Genomic DNA, 17,483 nt, shown 5'->3' on the forward strand with positions numbered 1-17,483 from the left:
TAGAAATAAGCCAGGTTAGCTGGGCATGATGGGACATGCCTGTAATCCCAGCTACTCGGGAGGCTGAGGCAGGAGAATTGCTTGAACCCGGGAGATGGAGGTTGCAGTGAGCTGAGATCGCACCATTGCACTCCAGCCTGGGCGATAGGGTGAGACTCAGTCTCAAAAAAAAAAAAAAAAGAAAAAAAGAAAAAAAGAAAAAAAGAAATAAACCAGGCGTGGTGGCTCATGCCTGCCTGGGTGAGAGAGCAAGACTCGGTCTCAAAAAAAAAGAAAAGAAATATAGGCAGGGTTTCACTATGTTTGTCAGATTGCTCTCAAACTCCTGGCCTCAAGCAATCCTCCACCTTGGCCTCTCAACATGCTAGGATTACAGGTGTGAGCCATCACATCGGCTGCTATTAACTCTTAAAAATGAACAACTGGCCAGGTGCGGTGGCTCACGCCTGTAATCCCAGCACTTCGGGAGGCTGAGGGGAGTGGATCACCTGAGGTCAGGAGTTCAAGACCAGTCTGGCCAACATGGTGAATCCCCATCTCTACTAAAAATACAAAAATTAGCTGGGTGTGTGGTGCACGCCTGTAATCCCAGCTACTTGGGAGGCTGAGGTAGGAGGATCGCTAGAACCCAGGAGGCAGAGGTTGCGGTAAGCTGAGATCATGCCACTGCACTCCAGCCTGGGAGACAGAGCAGGACTCCATTTCAAAAAAATAAATAAAAAACAAAACAAATAAACAAACAAAATGAACAACAATGCTGACTTGACTTTTAACTTCCATCTTCTGTTATAGTCCTAATATTTTACTTAAGGAAAAGAATTAAAGTCAGAAAAACTACAACTCACACAATGTACTTCTTGTTTCTAAAGGTGAAAAGAAATTTAAATACCTTTTTGTTTTTTTTGAGATGGAGTTTTACTCTTGTTCCCCAGGCTGGAGTGCAATGGCATGATCTTGGCTCACCACAACCTCTGCCTCCCAGGTTCAAGAGATTCTCCTGCCTCAGCCTCCAAAGTAGCTGGGATTACAGGCATACACCACCAAGCCCAGCAAATTTTGTATTTTTAGTAGAGACAAAGCGGGGTTTCTCCATGTTAGTCAGGCTGGTGATCATCTCAGGTGATCCACCTACCTTGGACTCCCAAAGTGCTGGGATTACAGGCATTAGCCACCTCGCCAAGCCTTTTTTTTTTTTTTTTTGAGACGGAGTCTCGCTCTGCTGCCCAGGCAGGAGTGCAGTGGCACAATCTCGGCTCACTGCAAGCTCCGCTTCCCGGGTTCACACCATTCTCCTGCCTCAGCCTCCCGAGTAGCTGGGACTACAGGTGCCCGCCGCCACGCCCGGCTAATTTTTTGTATTTTTAGCAGAGACGGGGTTTCACTGTGTTAGCCAGGATGGTCTCGATCTCCTGACCTCGTGATCCGCCCGCCTCGGCCTCCCAAAGTGCTGATATTACAGGTGTGAGCCACCACACCCGGCCCTTTTTTTTTTTTTTTTAAATGAGAAGATGTCTTGCTTTATCACCTAGGCTCAAGTGCAGTGGTGCAGACACAGCTCACTGCAACCTTCACCTCCTGAGCTCAAATGATCCTCTTGCCTTAGCCTCCTGACTAGCTAGACTACAGGAATGAGCCACCATGCCCAGTGAATTTTCAAATTTTTTATAGAGATGGAGTCTTGCTATGTTGCCCAGGCTGGTCTCAAACCCCTGGCTTCATGAGATCCTCCCACCTCAGTCTCCCAAAGCATTAGGATTACAGGCCTGAGCTACCCCACCTATTATTCAACTAAAAGTCAGATATAGTTAAGAAAGAGTAGGAAGAAAATAAATGAGTCACTGTATTTGTTTTGAAGATACATATCAGTTAAGAATTAAATAATAAATCTGAAATTAAACACTAAATCAACAAAGATACAGAATGAAAGAAAATACTTGTATTGGCAGAATAGAAACTTTATGCTACATACAGAAAAAAACTTCCAATCATATCAGGTAGCATTAACAATTAGGTACTAGCTGGGCATGGTGGCACACACCTGTAGTCCCAGCTACTCAGGAGGATCACTTGAGCCTAGAAGTTCAAGGCCAGCCAAGCTAACATAGCAAGATCCTGTCTCTTAGAAAAAAATTAGGTATGGCCGGGCGCGGTGGCTCACGCCTGTAATCCCAGCACTTTGGGAGGTCAAGGAGGGCGGATCACGAGGTCAGGAAATCAAGACCATCCTGGCTAACACGGTGAAACCCCGTCTCTACTAAAAATATAAAAAATTAGCTGGGCATGCTGGCGCATGCCTGTAGTCTCAGCTACTCAGGAGGCCGTGGCAGAAGAAATTGCTTGAACCCAAGAGGCAGAGGTTGCAGTGAGCTGAGATCACGCCACTGCACTCCAGTCTAGGTGACAGAGCAAGACTCCACCTTGGAAAAAAAAAAATTAGGTACTGAAGAGGTATTTGGTGAAAAGGGACAAGACTGACAACTGGAACAGATTTGAAAACCATAGAAAAATTTTATAGCAATATTTTTCAAGTCAATAAAACTAATAAAAAGGTTTATTTAAAAGTCAGCTTTTGAGCTGAGCATGGTGACACATACCTGTAGTCTCAGCTACTCGGGAGGGTGAGGCAGGAGGATCGCTTGAGCCCAGGAGTTTGAAGCTGCCGTGAGCTGTGATTGCACCACTGTACTCCAGCCTCGGTGACAGAGTGAGACCTTGTGTTGAAAAAAAAAAATTTTTTTTTTTTTTTTGAGATGGAGTCTCACTCTGTCACTGAGGCTGGAGTGCACTGGTGTGATCTTGGCTCACTGCAACCTGCACCTCCCAGGTTCAAGTGATTATCCTGCCTCAGCCTCTCCAGAAGCTGGGATTATAGGCACCCGCCACCATGCTCAGCTAATTTTTTTGTATTTTTTAGTAAAGATGGGGTTTCACTATGTTGGCCACACTGGTTTTGAACTCCTGACCTCAAGTGATGCGTCCACCTTAGCCTTCCAAAGTGCTGGGATTACAAGCATAAGCCACCACCCCCAGACAAAGAAAAAAAAAATTTTTTAACTCAGCTTTTCTTAGATCATTGTCAAAGACTTACATATAATAAGACCAGTGAGCATGGAACCTCCTGGGGGAGGGATTGAACAGAATTAAGTTCCAACAATATGAGCTGTCTCAAACTGGTAGGGAGGGAAGGGTCTTTGCTCCAAATCTGATCATGTTTCCAGAACAGATTCACTGATCAGACGGCTTGTCAAATGATATAGCCTTTTATTTTTTATTATTTATTTTTTCTTTTTTCTTTTTTTTTTTTTGAGACGGAGTCTCGCTCTGTCGCCCAGGCTGGAGTGCAGTGGCACGATCTTGGCTCACTGCAACCTCCGCCTCCCGCAGGTTCACGCCACCATTCTCCTGCCTCAGCCTCCCAAGTAGCTAGGACGATGGGTGCCTGCCACCATGCCCGGCTAACTTTTTGTGTATTTTTAGTAGAGACGGGGTTTCACAGTGTTAGCCAGGAGGGTCTCGATCTCCTGACCTCATGATCCACCCGCCTCGGCCTCCCAAAGTGCTGGGATTACAGGCATGAGCCACTGCGCCTGGCCTAGACTTTTATTTTTTCTTTCTTAAGACAGGGTCTTCTTGTGCCCAGACTGGTCTCAAACTCCTGAGTTCTAGTGATCCTCCTGCCTCAGCCTTCTGAGTAGCTGGAATTATAGGCTTATACCACCATGCCTGGCTGGATATATCCTTTAAGGTCTAACCCTAAATTCAAATACTGTAACTGCCAATAAAGAAATGAGAATTGATGTCACTGGTAGTTATCAACAAATACATCAGTCTTTCCTGTAAACAGGTCATTTTTTATGTGTATTATTTCATTTGCATCAAAATATCATTAGACACGTGTCAAAAAGGCCCATTCTGTACAATGAACTCATTTGGGTGTAATAACAAAATGAGTCAGGCATAACTTCATTCTCCATTGTTTCAGGCTTGACTTTGCTACAATAATCACTTGGAGGAAAGCTGTTGCTATTGTTGCCTCTTTTTCTTCACAAACCAGAAGGTCTTTTCTTGCCCATTCATTAAGAATCAAAGTCCTTTAGATAAGAAGATACTGTCATTCAGGAGGGGGTTCATATTGCCCCAATGAAAAATCAGAATGAAAATCTGAGGTGATAAGCTCTGTCTGCCTCCAAACCCATATCCATTGTGGGAGGCACTATTTACAGAAGAGTAACTGCCACTAGGATCAGTGCCACTGGGCACCGTTTATATTGGATTTTAACTGTGGGAAGAGAATAAAAACATTTTCCCTTTCTTGTTATCAACTGAAAAATAGCTACTGCTTCAAACATGTTAAATCAAAATGAAAAACATGCCAAAGATAAAAATATTACAATGATAGTTTCATGTATAAAGGAAGGAATAGGGGTTCCCCATAATTACATTTTCCCAAATTTGTCTTTCCCCCACCAAATGTGGCTTTAAAATGCTTTCCTTCTAAATACCAAAAAAACTTGGGGTTTTTAAAAAAATTTAATTTTATTGACAAGGTCTTGCTCTGTCACCCAGGCTGCAGTGGAGCAATCACAGCTCACTGCGGCCTTAAACTCCTGCAATCCTCCTGCCTCAACCTCCCAGAGGGCTGGGACTTCAGGCATGAACCACTGCACCCAGATAATTTTTGCATGTTTTCGATTTTTTTTTTTTGAGACGGAGTCTCGCTCTGTCGCTCAGGCTGGATGGAGTGCAGTGGCATGATCTCGGCTCATTGCAAGCTCCACCTCCTGGGTTCAAGCCATTCTCCTGCCACAGCCTCCTGAGTAGCAGGGACTACAGGTGCCCGCCACCACGCCCAGCTAATTTTTTGTATTTTTAGGGAGACAGGGTTTCACCGTGTTAGCCAGGATGGTCTCGATCTCCTGATCTCGTGATCCGCCTGCCTCGGCCTCTCAAAGTGCTGGGATTACAGGCGTAAGCCACCGCACCCAGCCGTGTTTTCAATTTTTTTATAGAGAAAGGAGTCTCGCTATGTTGCCCAGGACAGTCTCAAACTCCTGGCCTCAAATGATCCACCAGCCTCAGCCTCCCAAGTCCCAAACCTCTCAAGGGATTACAAGTGTGAGCCACTGCACCTGGCTCCACTATAACACTTAGTGTTTGGTAAAAGTGTTTTCGGCCAGGCGCAGTGGCTCACGCCTGTAATCCCAGCACTTTGGGAGGCCAAGGTGGGCAGATCACCTGAGGTCGGGAGTTTGAGACCAGCCTGACCAACATGGAGAAACCCTGTCTCTACTAAAAATACAAAATTAGTCAGGCATGGTGCCCCATGCTTGTAATCCCAACTACTCGGGAGGCTGAGGCAGGAGAATCGCTTGAACCCAGGAGGCAGAGGTTGCAGTAAGCCGTGATCAAGCCATTGCACTCCAGCCTGGGCAACAAGAGCGAAACTCTATCTCAAAAAAAAAAAATAAAAAGTGTTTCCATTGTGAATTATATAATTTCCTACAGGGAAAACCACTTTTATTTATAGTTCAAAGTCATGATTATGATTATCAGTTATATTTTCCTGTAAACCTGAGATGCCTCCAAGGGCTACAGTAGGTCTACAGGACTGTTTGCCCTTCTGTCACCAAATGGTCCCAGATTGCTATCCTTTTTGAGCTAGTTTTTTCTGACATCATGCTATATATTTTCACTGATCAGTACTGTCATGTGCCCAGCTCCTTCAATAAACCACCATTACCTCCTAATTTTCTTTTTAAATCTGTTGTAGGATGTAAATCAGGAAGCCATAATTATTAGAATTTCATGTCAACATAAGCAAATGAAGACCTCTCCAACAGAATAAGGGTACTGCACTTTGTGACAGCTCTTTCAGTGCCTTATGGACCCTTTTCCATCTACTGTGAGCTCTCAGCTAGGAACAACAAAGCAGAATTTGCAGAAATCTGACCTATGAAAAAGTGAAGTATTACTTATATATGTTACTTACCAATTTTTTCTTTCCTTCTGAATTTTCTCCTTGGTTCCTTTATTATATCACTTTTTCAACCTGTGTAAGATGGACATGAATAATTATAAGAACAGTTTCCTCTTTTTCTCTGCTGTCAGTATGCCTACTTTTGACTCAGTTATCTCTTCCACATTTTCATTTCTAATCTTTTCAGGCTTTGGAACCCAGATCACCAAGCTCATCTCCTGAGTTGTAGTCTAATGCCCTTCAGCTCTTTCTGCTCCCCTACACTTTCTTCTCACTCAAACTACAACCTCAGCCACTTTACCACACATCCAGCTCATTTAAAAAGTCACCAACAGCAAGAGAAGCAAGTCACACTCCCTCTAGAAGCTGGTGTATATGTGTGTGTAAAGGTGGAGAAGGCAATGACCAAGGAGCTAATTCATAAGTAAAGTACACAGACTGGGCGCAGCAACTCACGCCTATAATCCTAGCATTTTGGGAAGTCAAGGCAGGCAGACAGCTTGAGCTCAGGAGTTTGTGACCAACCTGGGCAATGTGGCGAAACTCCATCTCTACAAAATATAAAAAAAATTAGCCAGGTGTGGTGGCATGTGCCTGTAGTCCCAGCTACTTGGGAGGCTGAGACAGGAGGATTGCTTGAATATGGGAAGTCGAGGTTGCAGTGAGCCGAGATGTGAGGTCTTTTTTTGCTGTTAAAATGTCAGCCATATGTTCCACAGTATGATCAATGAGTGGCTACTTACTATTACATGCACGAGTATGTGGTTAAAAGGGACCAAGCAGATGGGGGCTTGGTGGCTCATGCCTATACTCCCAGCACTTTGGGAGGCTGAGGTGAAAGAATCACTTAAGAATTTGAGTTTATATATTATTTTCTATTCCCTCAGGAACAAAAAAGTTAAACTTACCTATGCAACATAAATCTGAAGATTACACATTCAAGACAGGATTTGAATTATGGATTTGACTCACGCAACCCATGTTATAAATTCTAACTATAAGGTCTCCAAAGTAAACATGTATTTTATTTATTTTTATTTTTTTGAGATGGAGTCTCACTCTGTCATCCAGGCTGGAGTGCAATGGCATGATCTCGGCTCACTGCAACCTCCGCCTCCTGGGTTCAAGCAATTCTCCCACCTCAGCCTCCCAAGTAGCTGGGATTACACGTGCCCACCACCATCCCCGGCTAATTTTTTATTTTTAGTAGAGAGGGGGGGGTTTCATTATGTTGGCCAGGCTGGTCTTGAACTCCTGACCTCAAGTGATCCACCAGACTTCGCCTCCTAAAGTGCTGGGATTATAGGCATGAGCCACCGGTCCCAGCTGGGACTCATTCATCTTTGAACACTGATTACTTAACAGAGTACAATCTGGCATATATGTTTAATTAATGTTTGTTAAATAAATTAACAAATACATAAATCTCATCACTCTGCTTCTCAAAATTTTCATTAATGTCCCACTGTCCACAACAGAAGTTACAAACTCAAACACCTACAGGCACCAGGCAGGAAATATAAATGAGTAAAGGTGTGTGTAAGACAAAAGGAACCGGTGGGGATTGCAGTAAACTGGAGAGCATGTGTCCCATCTAAAGGGGCAGCTTCTTGCTATTCCCACCAACTGCTACCATAATGGAATGTAGGCTCCATACTGCCAGGTCTTCTGATTTTTCAAGGTAAGCTGAAAGCACAGATTTCTTTGTAAAATCTGCTGATTTTTAAATGATGACAACTAATTCCATTTAAAAACCCCCAAAAACCTACCATTCAGGCCAAACGAAACACATTCTATGAGCCAAGTCCAGCCCTCAAGTCACAAGCTGGGGCCTCTAGTCTGCAGGATAAAAGACAAACTCCCTGTCTGACATTCTAAGTCATTCACAATGAGTTCCCAGCCTACCTTTTTAGAGTGTTTTGCCTACTTGTTCCATACAATAACCCTCTGCTCTAGTCTAGTGGTTCTGAAACTTTAGCACGCATCAGAACCACCTGGAGGGCATAGACTGCTGGGCCTCATTGCCAGTATTTCTGAATCAGTAGGTCTCAGGTGGGGCCTGTGAAACTGTAGTTCTAATAAGTTACCAGGTGAAGCTGATGTTACCGGTCTGTGGACCACACTTTAGGAACCAATGCTAGAGTTAAACTACTCCCTATTTTAAGCATACTCTGAATTGTGCTCACATTGTTCTAACTTCCCAGAGGAACTTCCCTCTCCTTTCAGTCCATCTCCTTCTATAAACTTTCCCTGACTACGACAGTCTTAAATGCCTCCAAATTCTATAGCACCTAGGGTTTGGGCCAAGCTTAGTCAAAACCCACAGCCCATGGGCCGCATGTAGCCCAGGATGGTTTTGAATGCAGCCCAACACAAATTTGTAAACTTTCTTAAAATATTATGAGATCTTTTTTTGTGATTTTTTTTTAAGCTCATCAGCCATCATTAGTGTTAGTATATTTTATGTGTGACCCAAGACAATTCTTCTTCTTCCAATGTAGCCCAAGGAAGCCAAAAGATTGAACACCCCTGGTCTACACCATCTCTCCTTTATCAATCCCTGCTTGGTACTGTTTACTGTTAAGTGTTTGTGTATGGGTGACAATAAGGTTGTATATTCTCAGAGATCAACATCCAGGTCAGAGCTTTATACATCTGACTGTAAACAATTTGAGGGCAAGGGCCTTCTCTTGTTCCTTACTGTACCCATGAAGTTATCAGACAGGCTGTTATACAGTTGGTATTCATTAAATGTTTCTTAAATGAATGAACATTTGACAGATCCATGACATAAAAATGCAGACAAGTGGGCCTAAAACTTAGGTAATTTTTCATTGCTTTTTTTAAAAAATAGAGACAGGGTCTTGTTATGTTGTCCAGGCCGGTCTCAAAATCCTAGGCTCAAGCAATCCTCCTACCTCGGCCTCCCAAAATGCTAGGATTATAGATGTGAGTCACTGTGCCCAGTCCAGGTAAGTTTTCTTAGAGAACTTTTAGTCTGTGGCTCTGTTGGGATGGACAACTAATAAAAATGGGATATTTTGCAAATAAAGGAACAGTAGTTAATGATTATTTGTAGGCATAGTGGTGCACGCCTGTAGTCCCAACTACTTGGGAAGCTGAAGTAGGAGGATCTCTTGAGCTCAGGAGCTTAAGTTCAGCCTGGACAACATAACAAAACCCCATTTCAAAAATATATGGCCAAGCATAGTGGCTCACAACTATAATTCCAGCACTTTGGGGGCCTGAGGTAGGAGAACCATTTGAGCCCAGTAGCAACAGAGTGAGATCCAGTCTTTACTCCCCCCCCCCACAAAAAAAAGTTAGCTGGGCATGGTGGCACAAGCCTGTGCTCCTAGCTACTCAGGAGACTGACATGGGAGAATTGCTTGACCCCAGAAGGTTAAGGCTGCAGTGAGTCATGATTGCACCACTGCACTCCAGCCTGGGTGACATAGTGAGACCCTGTCATTCATTAACAAATAAATAAACAAATAATTATCTGTGGTAACATATCTTGTATATAAGTAAAACATTGAATGTTTTAAATTTTTAAAAATTTATCTAAAAGTGATAAGATTAAATCCTTGACCGCCAGGATTTCTTAAAATGCCCCTGCAGAGATGTGAACTAGTCTTAATATCACGAGAAAATGTCAATTTAGTAGAATTCTATATTTGCAGCACATGCAATAAAAAAGCAGGATGAAAGTAACTCCTGGCCAGGTGTGGTGGCTCAAGCCTGTAATCTCAGCACTTTGGGAAGCCGAGGCAGGCAGATCACTTGAAGTGAGGAGTTCAAGACCGGCCTGGCCAACATGGGGGTGAAACCCTGTCTCTACTAAAATACAAAAATTAGCCGGGCATGGTGGCAGGCATCTGTAATCCCAGCTACTCGGGAGGCTGAGGCAGGAGAATTGCTTGAACCTGGGAGGCAGAGTTGAAGTGAGACAAGATTGTGCCACTGCACTCCAGCCTGGGCGACAGAGCAAGACTACCTCTCAAAAAAAAAAAAAAAGAAAGTAACTCCCATAAGAAACAGTTTGGATAATAATATATTTATTCAGGATTCTAAAGGCTATGTAGAAACAAAATCTAAAGTTGTTCACTTAGACTGATCCACCTATAAAGTACCATCTGCTATAAGGTGATCTCAAGAATGATTTATGAAGGGAAACATGGCCTCTAAGGTAAACCCGAATAAAGTTATAGATGAATTTATAAAGTAAACCCAGTTTTGGACCTACTAGAAGAAAAAAGCAGAAGTACTACCCACCCCCCGCCCCCCCTTTTTTTTTTGAGAAACAGTCACACCATTGCTCAGGCTGGAATACAGTGGCACGGCTCACTGCAGCCATGATCTCCCTGGGCTCAGGTGATCCTCTGAACTCAGCCTCCTGAGTAGCTGGAACTACAGGTACATGGCCACCACACCCAGCTAATTTTTGTATTTTTTGTAAAGACAGGGTTTTGCCATGTTGTCCAGACTGGTCTTGAACTCCTGGGCTTAAGCAATCCGTCTGCCTTGGCCTCCCAAAGTGTTAGGATTACAGGCATGAACCACCATGACCAGCCAGAAATTCTATCTATTTTGATACATAATAGTTCTAAATTTTATATATGGCTTGTTGGACAAAATTAACATCACTTGGCAAAAAACAGAGAATTAAATTCAGGAAAAAAAGAAAACCACCATTCAGGAACATTTGAAATACATTTATAAATTTAAGCTAGTGGAGATATTACCTTACATCTGGATACAAGTCCTACCTAACAGCACCATAATGATCTTGTCTGTATGAGGATTCAGCCAAGACACTCCACATTTCTTTGTTGACCAGGAACAAGGAAAACTGGACAGAAAAAGAATTACAAAACCAAGTCAACAAAACATGAAGTGGCTTATTCCAAGTTTAAAAGCATTAGTGTTCTAAACAATGAAACAAGGAAAATTTATTTAGTAATAATTCCTGGAACTTCATAGTAAAGGCACCTACCAGTAACTGTGGAAGGAAATGCTACCAGATAAACTACTAAATAGCAACTTCCTACTCTACTATCTGTACTATCAGTTGTTGCTCACCAGCAGATGACAGTAACAACATCCAGTTCTTTGGTAGAAAATGAGGGGATTCAGAAGAATGTAGACTCTATATCCACCTCTACCAGAGTATGAAATCTTGGCATTTCCCTGAGCCATATTCATGTCACAACAGCTTTATCTACAAAATCAAACTTAGTCAATAAAAAATATATATAATACAATAAAATAAACTAGGCCAAGTGTGGCGACTCATGCCTGTAATCCCAGCACTTTGGGAGGCCAAGGCAGGAGGATCACCTGAGCTCAGGAGTTCAAGACCAGCCTAGGCAACATGGCAAAACCCTGTCTCTACAAAAAATACAAAATTAGCCAGGCATGGTGGTGCATGCCTACAGTCCCAGCTATGCCAGAGGCTGAGGTGGGAGGATCACTTAAGTCCAGGAGGTCGAAGCTGTAATGAGCCATGATCCTGCCACTGTACTCCAGCATGGTTAAGAGTAAGACCCTATCTCAAAAAAACCATCAAAAAACCCAAAAACCAATAAAAGAAACTATAAAGTACTATAACTAAGGTACTACGCATACATTAATAATCTTGTTATAGTCAAATTTTTATGTTCATACATTAATCTGTAAGCCTATGTTCAAATGAGGAGTCTTGGACTGACTTTCATATTATAAAGTTACCAATTTCTAGAATAAATTCCAAATATACAGCCTGTGACAGAAGATGCCCTACTCTCTTTTCTGCAGCTTATCAACAGTGTGCTTTTTCAGAACCTTACACATACAAAATTAATGGTAACTTTATAGATTTTACATCAGAGATAAACTCTTCAATATATGGCGATTCCGCCTATGGACTCACGGGAGTGTGAAAGTATACCAGAAATACACTCAGAAAAAGCTATGATCGGCCAGGCGTGGTGGCTCACGCCTGTAATCCCAGTACTTTGGTAGGCCGAGGCGGGCGGATCACCTGAGGTTGGAAGTTCGAGACTAGCCTGACCAAAATGGAGAAACCCCGTGTCTACTAAAATTACAAAAGTAGCCGGGCATGGTGGCGCATGCCTGGATTCCCAGCTACTCGGGAGGCTGAGGCAGGAGAATTGCTTGAACCTGGGAGGTGGAGGCTGCGGTGGGCCGAGATCGTGCTATTGCACTCCAGCCTGGGAAACAAGAGCGAAACTCCATCTCAAAAAAAAAGAAAAGAAAAAGCCATGATCATGCTGGCAGATGGTATGTATAATAAGGTTTACGCCAGCCTGACCAACATGGAGAAACCCTGTCTCTACTAAAAATACAAAATTAGCCAGGGATGGTGGTGTGTGCCTGTAATCCCAGCTACTCGGGAGGCTGAGGCAGGAGAATCGCTTGAACTGGGAGGTGGAGGTTGCGGTGAGCCGAGATCGTGCCATTGCACTCCAGCCTGGGCAACAAGAGCAAAACTCTGTCTCAAAAAAAAAAAAAAAAAATTTTACAGCCGGGGGCGGTGGCTCATGCCTGTAAATCTCAACACTTTGGGAGACCAAGGCGGGTGGATCACCTGAGGCCAGGAGTTCAAGACCAGCCTGGCTAGCATGGTGAAACTCTGTCTCTACCAAAAATACAAAAATTAGCCTGGCATGGTGGCACGCACCTATAGTCTGTTACTGGGGAGGCTGAGGCAGGAGAATTGCTTGAACCCGGGAGGCAGAGGTTGTGGTGAGCCGAGATTGCGCCATTGCACTCCAGCCTAGGCAACAAGAGCAAAACTCTTGTCTCAAAAAAAAGGTTTACAGCCGGGGCGGTGGCCCACGCCTGTAATCTCAACACTTTGGGAGGCCGAGGCAGGTGGATCACCTGAGGCCAGGAGTTCGAGACCAGCCTGGCCAGCATGGTGAAACTCCATCTCTACCAAAAATACAAAAATTAGCCGGGTGTGGTGGCATGCACCTGTAGTCCCACTTACTGGGGAGGCTGAGGCAGGAGAATCGCTTGAACCAAGGAGGTGGAGGTTGCAGGGAGCCGAGATGCCCCACTGCACTCCAGCCTGGGTGACAGAAGACTCTCTCTCAGAAAAAAAAAAAAAAAAGTTTACAAGGCTTATCATTACCAAATCGGCATGTTCCCTCAGAAGAAACAGAAATTCAGAAACAGAAACTATGCAAGTGGGAAACAAGGCGGAGGGGAGTAATTAGAGGTCAAAGACATCGGGAAGGAGTGTACGGATTAAGTCCTCCCTAGAGAAATGGTGACGAAGGATCTACAACCACATTTAAAATAAACTTTTTAATTTGAAATGGAGTATAACAGAGCAGAGCTTCAACCACAAGTCTCCTAACTATTGGCTTGGCACTCAGAATACCGTACCTTCCTTAATGACTCACTGACTGACTCTCATTGAAAAATGAGAATACTTGTGAGTACACTCCTTTTCAGAGGTGTATTCGGGATTTCAGGAGTCGGGGAGGCAAGTTGAAGAGCTTCCAACTTTATGCAACTTTCAGGAAAGAAGGCTGCGGACCGGTATTAGCAAATGGAAATCCGGGGGGCGGTCGTGGGCAGGAAGTATCGGCCACACAGGACCTAGTGAGGCCGAGGACCCTGCTCCCGACCTCGGTGGCAGCACTCCCCTCCCCGCCCGGCTCCCTGGCGTGCCGCTGCTCTTCGGAGGCTGGCAGCCTCGCCCTCAACCACCGCCCTCGGGAAAGTCCTCGACTGCCTATCAAAAAACATTTGGCCTGGGACGTCCGCTGGCTGCACTATCCCTTACAGAATCAGCAAGGGTGAAAAGCCAGGAAAGAGATGCAACCCAAAGGAGTAAGGCAGTGCCGGGAGCGGCAGAAGCGGAGCGGGGGCGAGGGCAAGGTAGCCGCGGCCACGCTGGCTGCGGCATGGAGACACGGGAGGAACGGGACCCGCGGGCGGCACGGGAAAGGGCTGCGGCTCAGACCACTGCGGCGGGACGGGCGGATCAGCGGGGATCTAAGTCTCCTGAGGCAAGGGCGCCCCGACCGCAGCGACTCCTGACACACCCAGGCCGCAGGACGAAGCGCTACCGCCTGGGGCTGCCAGCTCCCGCCTCCCGCCCGCAGAGCCCGGGCCCCACGTAGAGGATCCGGCGCCGCCGACACTCGCACACTCACCGCGCGCGCGCCACCCTTGCGCGGCAGCCCGCCGCCCTCGGCGCGACCTCCGCCCCACCCCGCGCGCCGCGGCGCCTGGGCTACGTCACGGGCGCGTGCGCTCTCCGCGCGCCGTCAGCGGCGCGGGTGGGGCATTGCCAGCTCGGCGTCCCGGTTCCCTTGGAGACAGAGCTGGCCAGGGCGGCCGCGGCTGGGCAACTACGACAGCGGAGCCCCTGGGGAAGCCAAGATGCCGTCGAAGGGAAAGGACAAAAAGAAAGGCAAGAGCAAAGGCAAAGACACGAAGTAAGGAGAAGCCACCCGAGAGTCCCCTCTCCCTGGGCCTGCCTGGGATTTCGGGTCTGGGGCTGGCAACCTGGCGCCCCCCGCGCCGGCCCACTCGGACCCTCTCCCCGGCTCTCCCGGCTTGTGAGGATTACAGCTCCCATGTCCATAGTCTGGCAGATCTCTACTATGTGTTCAGATTATCTTAAACGTGTAGAGGATGTATAAAGTAGTTCCTTGGGCCTTTTCAGAGATCTCTTTTGGTTCAAAGGGGACACCTAAAGTATTTTACCAAGTTGGATAATTATTGAGGTTTTCCCAAACTGATCAGAGCCACTGAGGTGGGTAATGTTCTAGCACTAACCCCTTACAGGCCTGGAGTTGCTGCTAGATTGCTACTAGCCCTATTGGGGGACCCCGGTGGTTTCTGGACACGTTGGAGTCATACGTGGTGTCCAGCAACAACACCATATATGGGAACACAGAGTTGGCACCAAACTTGAGATGTTTGTAAAGTAACTTAAGAGAGTAATTCATGCTCAATACAGAAAGTTTGGGAAACATGGGAAGTACCAAAAGAAAAAACAAAAATCACCTGTAGTCTCATTATCCAAAAATAAACACTACTATATTTTGGAGTATTCTTTTTTAATAAAACGATAGCCCAATGTACATACTTATATGTGGCTTTTTTCTTCCCATTTGTTAATGTAAGTATTCTTTTATGGTATTTTTTTTTTGTTTTTACATAACTGCACAGTTAGTCTAGCCCTTAAAGTGCCAAGGGCTTATCACATTCCTAGAACTCACTAACATATGTTTTCAGATTTTGACCATGCTTCTACAGTACACATTTGAACAATGAGGAACACTAAGGGTAAGAGACCTTATTCCTTGGATTTTCCATGACCCATTGTTTGAGAAACCTGGCTTTGTTTCTACAGTGAGTATCAGTGGTCCTATTAGAGTGTCTAATTTCTTGCATCAAGTACTTTTTTTTTTTTCTTGACACCAAGTTTTGCTCTTGTTGCCCAAGCCGGAGTGCAATGGCACGATCTCAGCTCACTGCAACCTCTGCCTTCTGGGTTCAACCAATTCTCCTGCCTCAGCCTCCCGAGTAGCTGTGATTACAGGCACCCGTCACCACGCCCAGCTAATTTTTTTATTTTTAGTGGAGACAGGGTTTCACCATGTTGGCCAGGCTGGTCTCGAACTCCTGACTTCAGGTGATCCACCCGCCTCGGCCTCCCAAAGTGCTGGGATGACAGCCGTGAGCCACCATGCCCTGTCGCATCAAGTACTTCGAGCCACTCAGACCTGATACCTGGATGGTCGTAGTGAGACAGTGTATCACTAGTGCCTAAATCATGCCAGAAAGGGACATCAACAGCTATAACAGGCTGAGGGGTTGGGAATGGAGCTGGCCTTAATTTGAAGAGAACAAAAGGTGAAAGTGGGACTTTGGTTCTCTCCACTGCAAACCCATTACCTCTGTGGAAGAGGACTGAGAACCAGAGGTAGGAAAGTGGATGTGGAGGGTGGCAGTATAGAAAGGTCCACATGTACATATGTGTGAAAATATTTAGAATTCAAATACAGGTGAAATATTCTTAAATATGTACATATTTATATATCATGGTACCTACCATATATAAGGGGGAGTGTTTTGTTAATGCTTATACAATAAATATTTAGAAAAATCTCTTCCTTTACCACTTTAATCTTTGAATCCATCCTTTTTCCTCTCCACCTCTATATAAATGATTATGGTTTCTCAGGCATCCTTAAAGCCCGGTGGGTGGGGCATCGTGGCTCATGCCCAGCACTTTGGGAGGCTGAGCAGGGGAAGATCACTTGAGCCCAGGAGTTCAAGACCAGCCTGAACAACATAGGAAGACCCTGTCTCTACAAAAATTTTTATTAAAAATTAGTTGGGCATGCTAACTCATGCCTGTAGTCACAGTTACTTAGGAGGCTGAGGTGGAGGATCGTTTGGGCCTGGGAGGTTGAGGCTGCAGTGAGCTGTGATGGTGCTACTGCACTACAGCCTGGATGACAGAGCAAGATCTTGTTTCAAAAAAAAAAAAAAAGTCCGGTGAACTGTGGCACCAGCTGATAAACTATTTAACGTATTTGCCCTAGTGACTTGACTTTTTGTCCAAGACCTAGCCCAAAACAAAACAAAACAAAAACACCATCCTGGCTAACACGGTGAAACCCCGTCTCTACTGAAAATACAAAAAATTAGCCGGGCCTGGTGGCGGGCTCCTGTAGTCCCAGCTACTCGGGAGGCTGAGGCAGGAGAATGGCATGAACCTGGGAGGCGGAGCTTGCAGTGAGCCGAGATCACGCCACTGCTCTTCAGCCTGGGTGAAAGAGTGAGACTCCGTCCCTCCCCCAGAAAAAAAAAAAACACACTCAAAAGTGGAGGGTAAAGTGGGTGGGAGATCACAGTTATACTACCAATGGGTATCATCATGCAGAAACTGAACAGAGATAATGGGTTTGCAGTGGAGAGAACCAAAGTCCAGCACTGAGTGAGTAGGAATAGAAAAGATAGTTTAACTACAGGAGAATCAGGCTAGGGCACTGGTTCACACCTGTAATCTCAGCACGTTGAGAGGCCAAGGTGGGAGGATACTTGAGCCCAGAAGTTGGAGACCAGCATAGGCAACATAGTGGGACCCCATCTCTATTAAAAAAAAAATAAATATGGGAGAATCAAATAAGTAAATGAAAAGGTATAAAAACTGCCCAAGCGCAGTGGCTCACACCTGTAATCTCAGCACTTTCGGAGGCTGAGGTAGGAGGATCACTTGAGCCCAGGAGTTCAAGACCAGCCTGGGCAACATGGCAAAAACTCATTTCTACAAAAAGTACAAAAATTAGCTGGGCATAGTTGCATGAACCTGTAGTCCCAGCCACTTGGGAGGCTGAGGTGGGTGGATGGCTTGAGCCCAAGAGGCAGAGGTTCTGGGGAGCCGAGATCGTGCTACTGCACTCCAGCCCGGTGACACAGCCAGGCCCAGTTTCAAAAAGAAAAAAAAAAGATATGAAAGCTTTCTGAAATG

At 45.2% G+C, this 17,483-nt stretch overlaps 2 protein-coding genes across 37 annotated transcripts in view, besides 8 other annotated features; one reads left to right on the plus strand and one right to left on the minus strand.

Annotated features, from left to right (window-relative positions):
- The window catches only part of ENTPD5 (ectonucleoside triphosphate diphosphohydrolase 5 (inactive)), a 63,960-nt gene extending 49,773 nt beyond the window's left edge, over nucleotides 1-14,187 (minus strand). For 8 of the 14 annotated variants that reach the window (NM_001382258.1, NM_001382262.1, NM_001382259.1 and 5 more), the window contains exons 1-3: nucleotides 14,149-14,187; nucleotides 10,723-10,829; nucleotides 5,990-6,049 (exon numbers count right to left, since the gene is read on the minus strand). The gene's annotated coding sequence lies outside the window, so the exon portion shown is untranslated. Of the gene's footprint in view, nucleotides 1-2,594; nucleotides 2,712-5,989; nucleotides 6,050-10,722; nucleotides 10,830-13,372 lie in introns of all 14 variants that reach the window. The other 6 variants (NM_001321985.3, NM_001321987.3, NM_001382256.1 and 3 more) reach the window with 4 other exon arrangements.
- Nucleotides 13,545-13,839: a silencer, noted in NCBI's record as "tiled region #8014; HepG2 Repressive DNase unmatched - State 1:Tss". NCBI's record gives its function as "represses a minimal TATA promoter and a strong SV40 promoter by Sharpr-MPRA in HepG2 cells {active_cell/tissue: HepG2}" and the evidence as "EXISTENCE:reporter gene assay evidence [ECO:0000049][PMID:27701403]".
- Nucleotides 13,755-13,824: a silencer, noted in NCBI's record as "silent region_5923". NCBI's record gives its function as "represses an Ori minimal core promoter by ATAC-STARR-seq in GM12878 lymphoblastoid cells {active_cell/tissue: GM12878}" and the evidence as "EXISTENCE:reporter gene assay evidence [ECO:0000049][PMID:35858748]".
- Nucleotides 13,865-14,004: a silencer, noted in NCBI's record as "silent region_5924". NCBI's record gives its function as "represses an Ori minimal core promoter by ATAC-STARR-seq in GM12878 lymphoblastoid cells {active_cell/tissue: GM12878}" and the evidence as "EXISTENCE:reporter gene assay evidence [ECO:0000049][PMID:35858748]".
- Nucleotides 14,015-14,084: a silencer, noted in NCBI's record as "silent region_5925". NCBI's record gives its function as "represses an Ori minimal core promoter by ATAC-STARR-seq in GM12878 lymphoblastoid cells {active_cell/tissue: GM12878}" and the evidence as "EXISTENCE:reporter gene assay evidence [ECO:0000049][PMID:35858748]".
- Nucleotides 14,115-14,364: a silencer, noted in NCBI's record as "silent region_5926". NCBI's record gives its function as "represses an Ori minimal core promoter by ATAC-STARR-seq in GM12878 lymphoblastoid cells {active_cell/tissue: GM12878}" and the evidence as "EXISTENCE:reporter gene assay evidence [ECO:0000049][PMID:35858748]".
- BBOF1 (basal body orientation factor 1) overlaps nucleotides 14,248-17,483 on the plus strand; it is a 63,516-nt gene continuing 60,280 nt past the window's right edge. For 22 of the 23 annotated variants that reach the window (XR_007064048.1, XR_007064049.1, XM_011537171.3 and 19 more), the window contains exon 1: nucleotides 14,248-14,433. Coding sequence is in view for 12 of the 23 variants with exons in the window: in XM_011537171.3 (XP_011535473.1) it covers nucleotides 14,378-14,433 (56 nt within the window). In the remaining 11 variants the exon portion in view is untranslated. Of the gene's footprint in view, nucleotides 14,434-15,238; nucleotides 15,290-17,483 lie in introns of all 23 variants that reach the window. The other variant, XM_011537176.3, reaches the window with a different exon arrangement.
- Nucleotides 16,645-16,939: an enhancer, noted in NCBI's record as "tiled region #4216; HepG2 Activating DNase unmatched - State 5:Enh, and K562 Activating DNase matched - State 5:Enh". NCBI's record gives its function as "activates a minimal TATA promoter and a strong SV40 promoter by Sharpr-MPRA in HepG2 cells, with weaker activation in K562 cells {active_cell/tissue: HepG2 | K562}" and the evidence as "EXISTENCE:reporter gene assay evidence [ECO:0000049][PMID:27701403]".
- Nucleotides 16,645-16,999: a biological region, named in NCBI's record as "Sharpr-MPRA regulatory regions 4216 and 10298".
- Nucleotides 16,705-16,999: an enhancer, noted in NCBI's record as "tiled region #10298; HepG2 Activating DNase matched - State 5:Enh". NCBI's record gives its function as "activates a minimal TATA promoter and a strong SV40 promoter by Sharpr-MPRA in HepG2 cells {active_cell/tissue: HepG2}" and the evidence as "EXISTENCE:reporter gene assay evidence [ECO:0000049][PMID:27701403]".

This window comes from Homo sapiens, chromosome 14 (assembly GCF_000001405.40).
Source record: "Homo sapiens chromosome 14, GRCh38.p14 Primary Assembly".
Lineage (NCBI taxonomy): Eukaryota > Metazoa > Chordata > Mammalia > Primates > Hominidae > Homo > Homo sapiens.